General features: G+C 38.5%; 1 protein-coding gene across 3 annotated transcripts in view; it reads left to right on the top strand.

Annotated features, from left to right (window-relative positions):
• The window catches only part of OTC (ornithine transcarbamylase), a 95,245-nt gene extending 76,999 nt beyond the window's left edge, over positions 1-18,246 (top strand). Inside the window, exons 9-12 of one of the 3 annotated variants that reach the window (NM_001407092.1) lie at positions 4,060-4,113; positions 4,194-4,343; positions 7,180-7,317; positions 16,341-18,246. In NM_001407092.1, the coding sequence (NP_001394021.1) occupies positions 4,060-4,113; positions 4,194-4,343; positions 7,180-7,317; positions 16,341-16,400 (402 nt within the window). In that variant the 3' untranslated portion in view covers positions 16,401-18,246. Of the gene's footprint in view, positions 1-4,059; positions 4,114-4,193; positions 4,344-7,110; positions 7,318-16,340 lie in introns of those variants that run through there. The other 2 variants (NM_000531.6, XM_017029556.2) reach the window with 2 other exon arrangements.

Raw genomic sequence — 18,748 nt, forward strand, 5'->3', positions numbered from 1 at the left:
TATTAAGGAAGTACTGCCAAGGGAGATCCCTAAGGGATTAGGGGGAGCAGGACAGGGAAAGGGAAGAATCTAAGCAAGGATGCCATTTACAGTGACCAACCATCCTGATTTGCTCAAGATCAAGAGATTTCTGGGGACATGGGGTTTGGGGTGCTAAAATTGAGAGTCCGGGCAAACCAAGGTGATTTGGTCACCCTAGTCCCATGTCGTGCACAGTCCCACAGAAAGTAGCTTCAGCCTGATCTCACAGGTGAGCTCTGGAGTGTAAGTTATGCCCTAAAGTTATCCCAGCATTGGTCAAGGGCAGCAGAAGAGGTGGAGTGGTAAATCCCCTGGCACTTTTGATGGGAAAAGCAGCCTGGTAGCCAGAGAGCTGTCCCCTGAAGACAAACTGCACGCACTAGGTGTTAAAAACACTGAAACTGGGGAAGGGAGCAGAAGCCATGAAAAGGGATCCCCCGGGGGCCTCTGAGTAGATCACCAACATCATCTGCTGCATCCAGCCAAAACAAAACTAACCACCACCAAATGCTTCACCAGGTGTTTTTATCTTGCTGTCTTGGATTCTTAGGGCTGCCATAACAAATTACTACAAACTACACAGCTTAAAACAATACAAATTTACTCTTTCACAGTTTTGGAGACTAGAAGTTTGAAATCAAGGTGTTGACAGGCCACACTCCCTCGGAAGCCTCTCAGGGAGGATCCTTTTTTGCCTCTTCCTGCTTCTGGTAGCCCCAGGCATTCCCATTTTCCCTCTGTGTCTGTGTCTCTCTGTACAAATCCCCCTCTTCTTATAGGGACACCAGACATATTAAATTTAGGCCCACTCTAATCCAGTATGAACTCATCTTAACTAATTACATCTGGAAAGACTCTATTTCCACATAAGGTCACATTCTGAGTTTCTGGGTGGGAGTGAATTTTGAAGAACACTATTCAACCAAGTACACCTGCCATAGAAAAAATGTACTGCATGCAGTGGAAGTCATCCTATTATAGTAAATTTGAGGGACTCAGAGAGATGACCCTTACAACAGATAATTCTCCTCTTTTATTCAGCGTGAACTGAAATAAGGGTCAGATCCGATATGTGCTTAAAGCGGCTTTTATTCACTTTATGGGAAGGGTGAGTACACTCTCTATACAAAGCTAGTTTGAAGAAAGGCTCTGTATTAATGCAAACTCTTATTGCATTTGGTTCCCACAGATGAAACATACATTAACAATAATTGCTCCCTGCTATGAAGATCTTTTGGAAGGCTTTATTCTGTTGAAGAAATATATGGTTTAAACATTTTATTGCATGCCAAAGATGTTTTATTAACATCAAAGGAAAAAATTCTAATATTACAGAGTAATTGCAGTATTGTTCTTAAGGAGAAACTCATTTAAATGATAAAGAGTACTAAAACCTGGTTAAACCTTGGTGGGAGTAAGAGTTTTGCAAAGTCTTCTGGAAAGTCTGATAGTGCAAAAGTCATTCCATCAATTTGTAAGTCTTCAGTTGTTAGTAGACCTGTTTCCTTTAAAGATAAAGCTAGGAGATTTATTGTAAATTTTAGAAACACTGAAACGTTTCCAAGGCCATGATTAATCTATTTCCCCATTCTTTAACCAAGAATAACTTACATGTTCAAGAAAAAATAATTTTGTCCATGATTGTAAAATTGCTCCATAAACTATCAATAGTAATGATTTTAACATTGTTCTAAGTGAATACTTAGAGTGAACTGGGTGTGTTAATCACCTTCTTTGTCTGGTTTTAAAATTTATGTAAAGGCTAGTGAGTGATTTAGTATTGAAAGCTGAGATGTGAGTAAAGAATTCCTCTCTGTATTCTAAGTCATGCCTCAGTGCATGCAAGGTTGGGTGATTTTCTAATTTCCAGACCTCTCTGTTGGTTCTCTAAGTACTTATTGATTCCTTTTCTAAGAATTATTGTACTTAGGGAGTATAAAACCTACTCTCCAAAGGGAAGGCTAAATTTTCAGGGTAGGAGGCACCTGGGGGAATATCCAAGTCTCTTCATTTATGTTTACCAGTATGGCTGTTCACAACATTAGTTGCTAAATTAGCTAGCCTTTATTAATTACTTTCCCCAAATCTCTATAAACAAGGCTCCAGAATTCATGGCTATATGAGGGTGGTAAAGCTGCTAAAATGTCTGCAGGCATCTTCATCAACATCTGAGTAGTTTCTTCTTTCAAGAATGCTTTAATAGAAGAAGAAACTATGGTAGACAATCATGTGCAAATAAACACAATTTCACAAATAAACCTAGACATGCCTGTCACAGGTTGGGTTTCTTGGGAAGCAGACTCAGAGTTTAGTGTGCAGGACAGGCAGGATGCTTATTAGCATGTGCCCTTGAAATCAACAACTGTGGAAAGGAAGGGAAGGAAGCAGGAGTAAGAGGGAGAAGCTGAGTTGCGATGCAGACCCAACAACAGCCTTGGCTGATCTTATGGAAAGTTCTGGATCTGAGATGTCCATTCATCTGTCTGGAGTTGGGCAGAGGAGGGTCAGGTTTTCATACCCTCCTGTCAATCAGCCATTGAATGTGGGTTGCCCCAAAAGGGTGTGTGACCTTGGGTGCGGCTGCTCTCTGCAGCAGAGGCAGTGCCCAAAGGGGGCTGACAGCTGAAAGCCGTCTTCTGGCAGCACTCCCAGCAGCTGGGGGAATAAGTCCTTTATTCATGATTATTCCTGGAGGGGGATCTCGGGAGCATACCACAGCGTTCACCACAATGCTTCAGTGAAAAGTGATAAAAATCAACTCATAATCAATGCTAAGAACTTGGGAAAATGAGAAGGATAGAGGAAGGTGAGGATAATTACAGTGTTTGAACTGACAAGACTTCCATATGGAGGGTCTTGGAGGTGAGGCTGGGCTAGAGTTTTGAGGAGCTGACACATTGTGATGAAGAAGCCCAGGAGGGGACAAGAGAGGAGGTGTTCAAGGGTGAAAGGCTGTGATGGCAGAAAAGGGCAAGATGTGTACAGGGATGACAATAAGATTGGCTTTCCTGCAGCAAGATGTTGAGAAGAATTAAAAGAGACAGAAGCAGAGGATGGAGGTGGGGAGCCTTGATGCTCTTAATCAGCTTTGACTTAAGAAACAAGTAGTAAACATCAGAGGCTTCAGAGAAAACAGTTCTTGCTGCTGTGTACAGAATAGGTTGGAGAGTGAGGGTAGAGGCAGGGAGGCTGCCTGTGGGAATCTGGGATACCTTGGGGAGCTTTAGCTGTTCCCATGATGTCTCCTCACCCAGAGTAGGAACTAGGCTGAGCAAGCGAGGCACCTAGGGTGCAGAATTTGTGCATGCATGACCCTGAGAATGTGTGTTTCTTTACATTTTTTCTAGCGCCTCCTTAAATGTTTTGCCCTAGGCACCTCGCTTGCCTCTCCAGAGTCTGACTCTGCCCTCACCAAACCATCCCGGACAAATATATAATCTTAGCAAAAACAATGTATTTGTTCTGTCAATGCCTTTCAAAACAAGCACCCTGCCCTCAAAAGGCTTGCTGGGGAATGCAAAAGAATGAGAGGTGTGTAATGGGGGAGGGGGAGCTGTTAGTATTTAGCTGGGATGGTCAGGGAAGGTTTTTCTGAGGAGGGGACATTTCAACTGAGACCTGAAAAAGTTATCCACATGGAATGGGTGGAAGAAAGAATTTCAGACAAGAAAGGATAGCATGTGCAAAGATAGACAAACATGCATTCATTTGCACACTTCTGAATATAATCCTCTTAAGCCATTATGGAAACCGGAAGAGGTGCTTCCAAGAGTTAGAAAGCACCATGCCTTATGTTTGCCTTTATGATTAAAGAAGTCGGAGATAGTGAAAGCTGGGGCAATTGGTTGTCTCTTTAAATTCCAAAAGGCACTATTGAGTTTTGGAATTCTAGATGTAAAAATCATATTCTACTGAACATGGTGGGACCACATCTTGAAAAAGGGAAGGAGACGCGATATTGAAAAGAAAATAATATATATTTAAGAAAACATGTATAATAAAATTACCTAAATAAGATTTAAATTCTTCCTCCTTTAGGGTTATGAGCCGGATGCTAGTGTAACCAAGTTGGCAGAGCAGTATGCCAAAGAGGTATGCTCTTTACATGTAAAGCTATTATTGCCTTTTACTGTCCCATGAAGTTATTTAACCAGCGTGTTTATGTATGCTAGAATGGTACCAAGCTGTTGCTGACAAATGATCCATTGGAAGCAGCGCATGGAGGCAATGTATTAATTACAGACACTTGGATAAGCATGGGACAAGAAGAGGAGAAGAAAAAGCGGCTCCAGGCTTTCCAAGGTTACCAGGTTACAATGAAGGTACAAATTGATGCCTCTCTGAAGGTTCATTAATTCCATTCATGAAGGCCAGAACCATCTAATCACTTATTCACTTTAGGGGGAGCAGACTGTCCTTTCATTCCCTATAAAAGGACTCACTGACTGTATCCCCTAGGGACTTCTCTCCTTCCAAAGATTAGCTGTGTCCTTTGGAAAGGCATTTTTGTGCTGGATGAAGGAATTTGAAACCCACTGAGAAGAGAGGAGCAGGCTTTTCCCTCTCACAAGAATCGAGGCATTGCAGTGTTTTACTCTTTGTGTGTTTAGAGAAATTAGGTTACTTCTGATGCATGCAGTTTCTTATGATTTCTCCCCTAAGAAAAGCCCCTTAACTATGCTCCTCAGGCTAGTCCTTGCCTCTATTTTCCAAGGACCTCTAAATCCAGTTTAGTTTTGCTAATGCCCTCCAGGGCATTCCCAGGGGACTCATCTGTTTGGCTGTCTTCCAGTAAGATCTGGAACAATGCTTCTCAGTCTTGAGCAGGTATTAGCATCACCAGAGGAGTTGTTAATACACAGCTGGCTGGGTCCCACCCCCAGGGTTTCTGATTCAGTAGGTCAGGGTGAAACCTGAGAATCTGCATTTCTACCAAGTTCCCAGGTGATGCAGTGCTGCTGCCTCCAGGGCCACACTTTGAGAAGCAATGTTCTGGAGGAATACCCTGAAAGCCAAATGCACAGGGGTTTTGTCAGCAAAGCAACAAATCTACTTTGGTGGAGAAAGGGATTAAGCAAGTACAATTAATATTATATTGATAAAGTAATACATAAATACAAGTTCTTTATTGTTATATATAAAATAGAACAGAAGTTTGAAAAATAAAAAGTAAAAATGTCTTTCTCCCATCTCTTTAACAGAGACTATTCCTAGAGGTAGCCTCTGTTTAATAATTTGATGTGTCTCTTTGCAGACCTTTTCTGTGCATTTACATATGTATGCCTCAATACACACATAACTATTGATTTTTTTGTAAATGATATTTTAGACATTACTTATTTATTTATTATTATTCTTACTTTTTCCACTTAACAAATCTTAGATTTTCTTGCTCACTCATTTAGATATTTTTTATTCTTTTTAGTTGCTGCATAGAATTCCAAAGGATAAGTGGAACCATAATTTACTTAAAATGTTTCCTATTGATAAATTAGGCTATTTCTGAGAATGCCGATTACAAAAATGCTGCAATGAACTTGCTTATCCATATTTCTTTGTGCAAATATTACTGGAGAATAAGATCCTGAGGAGAGGAATTTTGGGGTGAAGTGGTATAAATTTTTTAAAATATGAGAGTGCTGCTAAATTGCTTACCCAAAGAAGATTAAAAATGTATACTGCTGCAGCTGTATATTATAGTTATTTTTCCATATCCTCTCCATGTTTAGCTTTTATTTACATTTTTAATTTTTCTAAATCTGGAGGAAAAATGGCACCTCATCTTTGTTAAAATTTGCAATTCCTTGATTACTAATGAAGTTAAGCATCTTTTTATGTTTATTGGGCATTGCCCTTTTTTCTATAAATTGCTATTACATTTTTTGCCCATTTTCTATTTTTTTGCCTTTTCTATTATTGGTTATAGGAGCTCTTTATATATTATGGCTAATCCCTTATCATGTGGAATATATTTTCATGGAGATATTTTAAATTATATAAATTGCTTCATACTTACACTTGCTTGGCCAATCTTATATGTGTTGCTGGTGCTGGAACTGTAGGATTGAAGAACAGTCATTTTGTTGATGTATGGCATTTATAAATGTTACTTTTTTCCATGTAATTTTGCTGGTATTTTAGAAACTCAAAATGTCCTGAACCTAGAGCTTGGGTGGGAGGTAAAACAAAATTGTAGTACAAAGGCAGTAATTTTGAGGTAAGAAAGTATGAAGGAATGTAGTTTTGAATCTGTATGTGAACAATAGAAATATATAGGGAAATGTAACTTTCAGCAATTAACTGTTGGAGAAAATTAAAACTGCTAGTACATTTGCATTAAGAATGAAAAATCTAATGCATAGTGCTTATAATCCTGTTTAATTCACCCCTACCTCATTACCTTTATCTAAATTGTTTTAACTAGTGATGGAGTATGCTTCAAGTGCTAAAAATAATAATTTGGAGATCAGCTCCAAATATAATATTATCACACCAAAGCAACTTTTTAAATATAGTGGACTATAATTGGTGACTTTTGCTATCAGCCACATATTACATTAGTAGAGTTCTTTACTGAAAGGTCTACTGTTCCACTAAATAGAATAACAGAAAACTGAGTTACTGGTGTAACTTGAAGTGGTACTCTCTTAAATTTAAAAAGAAAAAAAAAAAAAAAAGACTTGCCAGACACGGTGGCTCATGCCTGTAATCCCAGCACTTTGAGAGGCGAGGCGGGCGGATCATTTGAGGTCAGGAGTTTAAAACCAGCCTGGCCAATATGGTGAAATCCCGTCTCTACTAAAAATACAAAAATTCACTGGGCATGGTGGCACATGCCTGTAGTCCCAGCTACTCAGGAAGCTGAGGCAGGAGAATTGCTTGAGCTCTGGAGGCGGAGGTTGCAGTCAGCCGAGATTTTGCCACTGCACTCCAGCCTGGGTGACAGAGCGAGACTCTGTCTCAAAAAAAAAAAAAAATTTGAAAGTACCATGTACATTTCTCCTAGGTGTCTTGAGATAAAACCATCACTCTGCTCCTTTGTCTCTCCCTTTGCATTGATGTCTGACTACTGGCCATGTGTGTTTTTAGATACTGAAGAAAACAAATATGACTGCCACATATAATAGTCAAAAAGTGGTCTTATCCCCATCTCTTTAGACTGCTAAAGTTGCTGCCTCTGACTGGACATTTTTACACTGCTTGCCCAGAAAGCCAGAAGAAGTGGATGATGAAGTCTTTTATTCTCCTCGATCACTAGTGTTCCCAGAGGCAGAAAACAGAAAGTGGACAATCATGGTAAGCAAGAAACAAGGAATGGAGGATAAGTTCTTTGTGTGGTTCCAACTTGGTCATTCATGCCTTTGGGGAAATAATAAGCAAGTGAGATTATCCAACTACATTACTTGCTCATGTAACATCTATTTTTTTCCAGAAACTTTATAATACATCATTAGTGCTTATTAGCATTTATAGTGTATTTGCATGGAGTGAGATTAATCTCCTTTCAAATAAATCCATTTTAACCAAAATTCTTACCACCCTTGATCCGCCTGAGCACCAGCCACCAGTTTGCCAACCATTATAAGTCATATAATTCTTATTTTAGAATCTCTTTGTTCATGTTTAGAGAAGCCCCTAATTCAGTTCCTGTATAAAATGGGCATTCAAAACATCTTACTTTTTCCCTTCTCTTTTTCCTCATTCCATGCCTTACTTTATGACTGGACTAGATACTTGTTTTCGTTCTTTGAGTTTGGCCATAGGGATATATGTGTTTTTAGGTATAGAACATTTCCAAATTTCATGGCAAAACTTATCTTAAAAATTAATGGTTCCTTTCAGATAAAGCCACTAGTTTCATCTTCATCACTGTCATTCTAGGAAATATTAACCATATGTCTACTTTACAATATCCCAAATGTCACCTGCTCTGGAAAATAGTACTGACATGTCTAACTTAGCTCCACCATTTTTTTAGCTTTTAGTGACTTAACTGGTCTCAATTACTGTATCAGCCAGGATCTTACTTGCAAACGGGAGTCCACTCTAGGTAGATAAATGGAAAGTAATGTATTAAGAGACATTAAGCGGCTCCCAGAATCTTTTGGGAAAGGAAGTGCAGTGAATAATTCTTGGACACCATATAGCCAGGGACAACACAGGCAGAAAAATTGCCCAATGACACTGTGGTTCTTTTGTAGCCAGAACACCACTGACACAGCCTGGTACCTGAGGCTCTTGAAACCAGATGTCAGATACTCCATTATAGCCACCACAGCTGAAATAGATTTCTCTACCTGCATATGTAGCAGAAGATCCAATCTCTCCGAAGACGGCTTCCACTGCATGTTGTTTGCTTCTGCACCCAAGTCTGGAGTAGATGCAGCTGAGTGGGATGCCTGTACCCTAGCTGCAAGGGAGTTTGGGAAAGGCAGTTTTTAGCTTTCAGCCTCTGGAGTAGAGAAAAGCAAGCTGGAAAGGACTAGCTTCTAATTATTTATCTAATCTATAAATTGGAATAGGTTTATTGTGAACATTAAAGTAATATGTGTAAAGCTTTTAGTATAGTACATAACACATAACACATGGTAAATATTGTTATCATAATTATTACCCTCATTATCATCATCTTCACTATTGATCTGATACAGACCCTATAAAATAAGCAGGGGTTCAAGCTCAACTATGGCTGCTTGGCAGCCAACCGTGACTCCCTTTTCAATAGAAGTTTGTATATTAGGCCTAAATTTGTCATATCTAATAACAGGGATGATTTTTTTTCACTGCATCTTTCCAGCTTGCCACCTCAGGACACTAACTTTGGCCAAAATGTCAATTGCCTTGTTATCTAGGCCAGTACTTCTGAAGCCTTAATGTGCATTTAAATTACCTAGGGGGTCTTGTTAAGGTGCAGATTTGAATTCTGTAGGTCTAAGATGGAGCTTGAGATTTGGCACATCTATTTTTTTTTTTTGTTTTTTTTTGAGATAGAGTCTCGCTCTGTTGCCCAGGCTGGAGTGCAGTGGTGTGATCTCGGCTCACTGCAACCTCTGCCTCCCGGGTTCAAGCAATTTTGCTACCTCAGCCTCACAAGTAGCTGGGATTACAGGCAGGTGACACCATGCATAGCTAATTTTTGTATTTTTAGTGGCGGGTAGGGGGGTTTCATCATGTTGCCCAGGCTGGTCTCGAACTCCTGACCTCAAATGATCCACCCACCTCAGCCTCGAAAAGCACTGGGATTACAGGCGTGAGCCACCGTGCCAGGCCGGCACTTCTAATAAGGACCCAGTTATTGCAGGTGCCACCATCCTGCAGACCACATTTTGAGTAGCAAAGATCTAGATGACAAAGAAAATGTGAGCTCTCCAACCACATACCTCAGGAAGAGACACAGCAAAACATTTTCCTTGAGCTCTGTTTTTCATCAGAAGACAATTGAAGTTACAAAGATATATCAAGTAAATCCATCAAAGTAGATCCTTTGTAGAAATTCAGTAGGGAAAACTAAAAGGAAACTTTCCAAAACATCAATTATGGAGATGCTCTGAACTTCTTATCTTTTAAAGAGCTTATTAAACAACGTCTTTAAAACCAATTTACTTGAAAAATTAAATACGTAATGTATTCACATGGTTGAAATATTTATGGTGAAATCTTACATCCACCCATTTTTCCATCCATCTAGATCTTACCGCCATCTCCCCATTCCCCATACCCCTGAGTTACCCACTATTATTAGAGGAAAATATTTTAAAGAAACCAAGAGACAGAATCGTGTTAAAATGAAAGTAGAGAGTCTAAAGTAGAAAGAATGCTCACCTGGGAGTGATGAGACTTGACTTCTGTAACTGGCCTTAATACTAGTCAGCTGTGCCATCTTAGCGTCTAAGTATTAACTCTCTAGGTCCCAGTGTCCTCTCCCATGAAATAAGCAGATTGAGCCATAGAGATGGCAAATGAGTTTTAATTCTTAGATCCCTAATCTCATCAACAGGCTACAGGAATTCTGTTGAGAAGGATTTTGAGCCTGCCTATGGTGTGAGACAGAAAGAGTGGCATAACTGATTAGCGTGCCTTACACGGACGCTAGAAAGGAGGTGGTGATACATGTGTTGCGCTCTTTATGTCTCTGAGCTAGATGATTTGGAGGTCCCTTTGAGTTCAGTTCATTTCAGCAGCCATATAGTGAGCATCTACTCTATGCCAGGTCCTCTGCCAGGCATTGGAGATTGAAAAAAAGAGAATAGTATGCAGCCACCACACAGCCTGTACAGTTCATAGAAGCATAACATTTTCAAGTGGGATGAGACCTTAGAGACTATCCACGCTAAATTCCTATTCTATAGGCAAATAAATTATTATTATTATTTTATTATTATTTTTATTTTTTGAGACAGAGTCTCGCTCTGTCACCCAGGTTGGAGTACAATGGCACGATCTCGGCTCACTGCAACCTCCGCCTCCTGGGTTCAAGTGATTCTCCTGCCTCAGCCTCCCAAGTAGCTGGGATTACAGGTGCCCGCCACTGTGCCCGGCTAATTTTTGTATTTTTAGTAGAGGCAGGGCTTCACCATATTGGCCAGGCTGGTCTCGAACTCCTGACCTCAGGAGATCCACCTGCCTCGGCCTCCCAAAGTGCTGGGATTATAGGTGTGAGCCACCACAGCCGGCCGCAAATAAATTATTCTTATACAGCTTATTTAGAATGGCCTTTAGGTTCAGCACTGCCGTGATACATTTTTCTAAGATGTTCTAATACTTGTCTTCCTCCAGACTACCCTATCCAATACAGTAGCCAGTAGGCACATATGGCTTTTTAAATTTAAATCTAAGCTAATTAAAATTTTACAAAATTGAAGATTCAGGCCAGGCGCACTGGCTCATGCCTATAATCCCAGCACTTTGGGAGGCTGAGACAGGGGGATTACTTGAGGTCAGGAGTTTGAGACCAGCCTGGCCAACATGGTAAAACTCTGTCTCTACTAAAAATACAAAAATATTAGCCTGGCATGGTGGCGCACATCTGTAATCCCAGCTACTCAGGAGGCTGAGGCAGGAGAATTGCTTGAACCTGGGAGGCAGAGGTTGCAGTGAGCCAAGATCGTGCCACTGCACTCCAGCCTGGGCGACAGAGCAAGACTCCGTCTCAAAACAAACAAACAAGCAAACAAACAAAAAAAGAGAAGATTCAGTTCCTCAGTTATACTAACCAAGTTGTTGAATGCTCAATAGCCACATGTGGCTGGTGGCTACACTATTGGTATTGGACAGCACAGACATCGAACACTTCCATCACTGCCGAGAGCTCTATTGGACAGCACTACTCTAGGGAATAATTTCCACGCATGCAACTTGATTTAAAATGAGGATGAAATAAGAAAGGAAAGCCACAATGTCGCCCTCCAGTTCTGAGATGCCTGTAATGACTGATGTAAGGTATACACTAAAATAGGATGAAGGGCTTTTTCTTTAATGGTGTAGCATTTTTTAAAGCAGAAGTGTCCTCTTTCAGCACTCAGAGTAGCTTTTTAAGGCCTCCATGCTAAGAGATTTCCAGTAGTGCTGTTCAGAACGCTTCACTAATCGCATCATTCTCTTCATAGTGCACAGGTCTTTGGACCCCTTTGTTTAGAAACAAAAATCACACTTTTCCTCCCCATGAAGCTTGCTTTTGTATTTTTCAGTGATTAATAAGGCAGTAGGACTCACAAAAAGTAGATAGATGTTTTCCCTCTGCCTATAAATTTTACACTGGAGCTAAAATAACCTAAAGGGACCCTGAAAAAAAGAAAAAATGCTGACACTTCAAAGCACTGTTATCCACATATGACTCTTAAGTCCAAAACACCATTGCAAATGTAATTCACAATATTTTATAGTCATTTACTTCTCCCCAAGTTAGAGTTGCCAGATAAAATAGAGGACACCCAGTTAAATTTGAATTTTGGATAAACAATGAATAATTTTTAGTCTAAGTATGTCTCATGTACTATTTAGAACATACAGTAAAATATATATTTGTTGTTATCTGAAATTCTTATTTAACTGTTTGTCCGTGTTTATTTAACTGAATCTGACAATCCTAATCCAAGTTGAATTTGTAAGTTTTTATTTGGAAATAAGGTTGACACAATCCATAGACAATTAAAAACAAAGCAAAAATGAGAGGGGCTCCCAGGAACCCATTAAGAAGTTTACAGTGTCTTTTACCTGGTAGACATTCTTATGCCAAAGTTTGCCCTGGCTAAACTAGTTCCTTCTTGTCATTCAGACATCACCTTAAATGTTACTGTTGAGCAAGATCTTCCCACACCACCCACTCTTAAGTGGTTCCCAAGGCTCCTTTATCTCCTTTTTACATTTTATTTTCTAATGGCACTACTTGATATTTTTATATTTTTTTGTCTGTTTGTTGCCTGTCCCCCTACTATAATGAAAACTTCTTTATGAAGGCAGTAAACCTGTCTGTAACGTTCTTTATTATACCTAGAAGTTTGCCTGACACATACTTTAAATATGGACTCAATACATTTTTGCAGCCTAAAGGCAATATAGGGAATTGGTTTTAGAACATAAGTTTTGGAAATCAGGTTAAAATTCTGGCTCTCTCTGTGATCTTGGGCTCCTAATCAACTTAGGCAAGTACCTTAACTTCACTAAGACCAGTTTATTCATATGAAAAATGAGGATAAAAAATAGAACCAACCTCTTAAGGTTATGAGGATTCAATGAGATCAGAGTCATGTGAGCATTGTAGTCAGGACCCAGGGACAGGTAGGTGCAGATCCACCTCTCACCATCACCACTCAGGAAACTTCCTACATCTCAGTTTCTCGATCTGTATTTTACATCTCTTACCATCTCATACAGTAGGAAAGGATATTAAATGGTATGATGTACATACAGCACTCAGCACCGGGCCTGGCATGTGATAACTTTGATAAGTATATTCAGTTAACACTTTTGAAATATAAGACCTGCACTTTTGATATAGGCTAGGAACACATGTACAGTGTGGTTGAAGTGTAAGAACAAGGACCTGAGAGACCACAAAACTACCTTTTAAGAGTAGAGTCATCCAGATTCACCCATGTTGTCACAAATGACAGGATTTCCTTTTTTAAGGCTGAATACTATTCCATTGGATATATACACCACATTTTCTCTATCCATTCATCCATTGATGGACACTTAGGTTGATTCCATATCTTAGCTATTGTAAATAATGCTGCAGTGAACATGGAAGTGCAGATATCCCTGCACCAGATTGGTTTCAGTTCCTTTGGATACATACTAGGAAATGGGACTGCTGGATCATATGGGAGTTCTAGTTTTAGTTTTTTGAGGAATCTCTATATCATTTTTTATAAAGGCTGTACTAATTTAGATTCCCACCAACAATGCACAGGAGATCCCCCCCTCTCTGCATTCCTGTCAACACTTATCTTTCATTTTTTTAAAAATAAAAGCCACTCTAATAGGTGTGTGGTGATATCTCATTGTGGTTTAATTTGCATTGCCCTAATGATTAATGATACTCAGCATTTTTTCATGAACTTGATGATTTGTATGTCTTCTTTGGAAAAATGCCTGTTCAGGTCCTTTGCCCATTTTTTAATCAGGTTGTTTTCTTTCTCTTTAGTTGTTTGAGTTCCTTATATATTTTGGATATTAATCCCTTAACAGATGTATGGTTTACAAATATTTTGTCCCATTCTGTGGATTGTCTCTTCACTTTATTAATTGTTTCTTTTGCTGTGCAGAAGCTTTGATGCAATTTGATTTGTCTATGTTTGTTTCTATCACTTGTGTTTTCAGGGTCATATGTGAACAATTACAAGACTCATGTCATAGAGCTTGATATGGTTTGGCTGTGTCCCCACCCAAATCTCATATTGGATTGTAGCTCCCATAATTCCCACATGTTGTGGGAGGGACTGGTGGGAGATAATTGAATCACAGGGGCAGTTTCCCCCATACTGTTCTTATGGTACTGAATAAGTCTCACGAGATCTGATGGTTTTATAAGGGAAAAGCCCTGTTGCTTGGTTCTCATTCTCTCTCTTGCCTGCCACCATGTGAGGCATGCCTTTTGCCTTGTGCAATGATTGTGAGGCCTCCCTAGCCATTGGAACTGTGAGTCCATTAAACCTCTTTTTCTTTATAAATTTCCCAGTCTCGGGTATGTCTTTATCAGCAGCGTGAAAAAGGACTAAGACAGAGCTTTTTCCCTATGTTTTCTTTTAGTAGTGTTACAGCTTCAGAGCTTATATTTAAGTCTTTAATCCATTTTGAGTTGATTTTTATATGGTGTGAGACAAGGGTCCAATTTTATTTTTCTGCATGTGGATATCCAGTTTTCTCAACACCATTTGCTGAAGAGACTGTCCTTTCCCCATTATGTGTTCTTGGCACCTCTGTCAAAAAGCAATTGACCATAAATGCATGGGTTCATTTCTGGGCTTTCCTTACTGTTTTGTTGGTTAATGTGTCTGTTTTTATGACAGTACCGTGTGGTTTTTATTAAAATGTCTTTATAATATGTTTTAAAATCAAGGAGTGTGATGCTGCCAGCTTTCTTCCTTTTGTTCAAGATTGCTTTATCTATGTGGGTTCTTTGTGGTTCCCTACAAACTTAAGGATTGTATTTTTGATTTATGTGAAAAATGACATTGGAATTTTGATAGGGGTTGCATTGAATCTGTAGATCACTTTGGGTGGTGTGGACATTTTTACATTAATTCTTTCAATCCATGAACATGGGATATCATTCCATTTATTTGTGTCTTCTTTATTTTCTTTCATCAGTGTTTTATAGTTTTCAGTAAACAGGTCTTTTACCTTCTTGATACAATTTATACCTAAGTAATTTTTTGTTGCTGTTGCAAATGTGATTATTTTCTTAATTTTCTTTTCAGATAGTTCATTATTAGTATATTAGAAATGTTACTGATTTATGTATGTCGATTTCATTTTCTGCAATTTTACTGAATTCCCTTACCAGTTCTAACAGTTTTTTGGTGGACATTATGCTAAGTAAAATAACCCAGGCACAGAAAGACAAATACTACATGATCTCACTTATATGTGGACTCTAAAAAAGTTGAACTCATAGAAGTAGAGAGTAGAATGATGATTACCAGAGGATGGGGGATGGGAAGGAAGGCAATGGGGAGTTGTTGATCAAAGGGTACAAAGTTTCAGGTAGACAGGGAGAATAGGTTTTGAGATCTATTATACAGCAGAATGATTATAGTCAATAATAATATATATCTCAAAATAACTTAGAGAAGAAATGTCAAATGTCTCTCCATAAAAAAGATAGGTAAGTAAGGTGATGGATATGTTCATTAGCTTGATTTAATCATTGCACATTGTATACATATATCAAAACATCATGCTGTACTCCATAAATGTATACAATTATAATTTATCAATCAAAAATAATAATTTTTAAAAAGAGTAGAGTCAGAGAAAACCAGGGTTCCAACCCAGTTCTGCACTATCTGTCATCTCAAGGATTGATTTCCTCAACTATAAATGATAATAATAAAAGCTACCTTAGAATTTTGTTGTATTAAATGAGATAATGCATGAACATTTTCCTCTAGCTCACCAAAGCTCCTGGCACAGTGCTTGAAAAATATTTCTTGACCAATACATGATATGGTACTTAGTATTCTATCTAATACCTAGTAAGCACTCAGTTAACATTCACCATAGTTTCTGATATTATTATTGTCATTCTTGTGGAGATTGAGAAAAGTAAAAGTGAAAATTACCATTTGTGATTGACAGATCAAGGGGAAGCGGTATACTCTTGGCTATAGAGATAATACTCTTTCAGGAATACCCAGCTTCAGAGAGCAGACATTGCTCAGATTACTCTACATCTGATTCATCCTAAACTTCTCTAGGCTGCGAGAGATCAAACCACGGTATAAACACAAGGATCTGGAATAGGAGAGATGATATTTCTCTAAAACTAGCCAATACTATACTTATGACTGGAAAATTCAGTCGTGGCTACCACTGTAGCATCTCATTTCAACTCTGTGACCCACTAGTCCTGGAATGAGGCCTAATTATGCAGTGTTTGTGTGTCTAGATCAGTCTGATCTCTGTTGACTTTCATTTATACCCTCCTCCAATAAATAAATAAATATTAGTTCAGAACTGTTCTCTTACCATTTTCTTGAGAAAACACATTTTAACTGTAACCCTGCAAAGCTGAAACCTAATTCACCTTCTCTAGGTCCCTAAGCAGACTGTCGCTAATGTTTATCCATTTCTTTCTTTCTTTGTTGTGTCATCAGGCTGTCATGGTGTCCCTGCTGACAGATTACTCACCTCAGCTCCAGAAGCCTAAATTTTGATGTTGTGTTACTTGTCAAGAAAGAAGCAATGTTCTTCAGTAACAGAATGAGTTGGTTTATGGGGAAAAGAGAAGAGAATCTAAAAAATAAACAAATCCCTAACACGTGGTATGGGTGAACCGTATGATATGCTTTGCCATTGTGAAACTTTCCTTAAGCCTTTAATTTAAGTGCTGATGCACTGTAATACGTGCTTAACTTTGCTTAAACTCTCTAATTCCCAATTTCTGAGTTACATTTAGATATCATATTAATTATCATATACATTTACTTCAACATAAAATACTGTGTTCATAATGTATAATGTCTAAGCCATTAAGTGTAATCTATGCTTATTACCTAAATAAATTATCACCCATGCTAATTTATAAGTAAACATTTACCAGGCAGTCAGCTACTGGTAAATCTGTGGGCTGTGTTCCTGTCCCCCAGGACCAACTAGAAAGCCAAATGATTCATCTTGCAGATGTGGTACAATTTTCAGGCCAATGAGGTAGACAGGCATTCATTTATGGAGGCAAATAACGAAATTCTTAAAATATAGCTATTACTGTGCCCAAACTCCAAAGTTTTTTCCAATAACTTGTGAGAATGTGGTAGTGGGGAATCCTCCAAGAGCATGTATCTCTTCTCTGTAATGAGTACTTACTGTTACAAGCCATAAGAAGCTTTTGTTAGCAAGTGGTAAAAGCATGGATACCTAGAGTAGCATTTTCTTAGGTTCAAATTCTCCAACAAGAATAATTTAATTTTTTTCACATCTGTGCTTATCATGCATCTACTCACACCATATGCTGAATATTTCCATAAATCTACTACTTGCAACATTTTAGCCAATCTTTTTCCTCTAATTTTTCTTTGGGGTAATAAAAATTTACATTATTGAATTATTATAATGTAATTACAACTAGATTTCTCTTGCGGGTGACTAACATTTGTATTGTTGAATTATTATGATATAATTTGAATTTTTTAGTTAAAATGTTAAATAACATAAGTGAAGTTTTTTTAAAAAATTATACATTTTACAGAAGACAAAATAATGTAATTTCCTTTACATTCTACATTTACTATTAGAAAAATGTTTCCAGGCTGGTTGACTGATATTCTTCAGCACACAGCTCTGACTTAAATGAGTAAGCAAGGGATGAATTACAAATTAGATTTGCAATGAAGGTGCAATAAAACATTTTTTGTGGGGGAAAGAGGCTCATAATGTTACAGAAAAAAACATCAAATTTTCCAGTAAATGTCAAAGGTGACTTTTGTGTCCATAGTAATTTATTGGAAGCACTTAGAAAGAGAGTGGAGTTTAGTGGAATATCTTTCAGCAGAGAGTAGAACAAGGTGTCATATGGATTGTGGAAGGCTCACCCTCAAATTGCCTACATAGAAAGAAGTGTTCTTCCACTTGCCAAATGGTCTGCCATAGTAACGAGCTCCCATCTCATTCCTGGTTATTCTTTGAACTAAATGGATGGTATAGTCTTCTTCCCTCACTTGGAAAGAACTTGTAATAATTTTCTTGCCAAAATATAGTCATTTTTTCCTCAAAAAGCTCTATAGCTTTCTTTATTGTGTACATACAATTTAACCTCATTCTCAGCCCAATTCTGTAGGAATGTATTTGCTTTCTTAACTTTTCATCTTAATCAGACATTATTTATATTGTCAGGAAAAAAGAAAATAGGGGAGGAAAATTCACCCTTAACTTTTGCAAAGCTGTTTTCATCTCCTCTTTCTTCTTACCCCTTTTCCTATATAGCTATTACAACTCCGAAGTTTAACGAAAATTCTAGAAATGACGCTTGCATCTTTGGTGTACATAATAAATCCTGTCACCTAATATAACTAGCCAAAGAGCTCTTTTCTTCCAGGATTTCTCCACAATAACATTGGGAGTAGACACCACAAGTGATTACACTGCAATGATTTCAATGTCATCAGTTTTTGTTTTTGTTTTCAGTGATAAGTTTCCAGGTACTTTAGAAAAGTAATTCAGTGTCTGGGCTGGGCATGGTGGCTCATGCCTGTAATTCTGGCACTTTGGGAGCCCGAGGTGGGCAGATCACCCGAGGTCAGGAGTTCAAGACCACCCTGGCCAACATGGTGAAACTCCCCGTCTCTACTAAAAAAGTACCAAAATTAGCTGGGTGTGGTGGTGGGCACCTGTAATCCCAGCTACTCGGGAGGCTGAGGTGGGAGAATTGCTTGAACCCCAGAGGCGAAAGCTGCAGTGAGCTGAGATCACACCACTGCCCTCCAGCCTAGGTGACAGAGCGAGACTCCGTCAAAAGAAAAAAAAAATTAATGTCAGATATTTCTCATTTTTTCTTTTCTTTCTTTTT

Source organism: Homo sapiens, chromosome X (genome assembly GCF_000001405.40).
Source record: "Homo sapiens chromosome X, GRCh38.p14 Primary Assembly".
Classification (NCBI taxonomy): domain Eukaryota; kingdom Metazoa; phylum Chordata; class Mammalia; order Primates; family Hominidae; genus Homo; species Homo sapiens.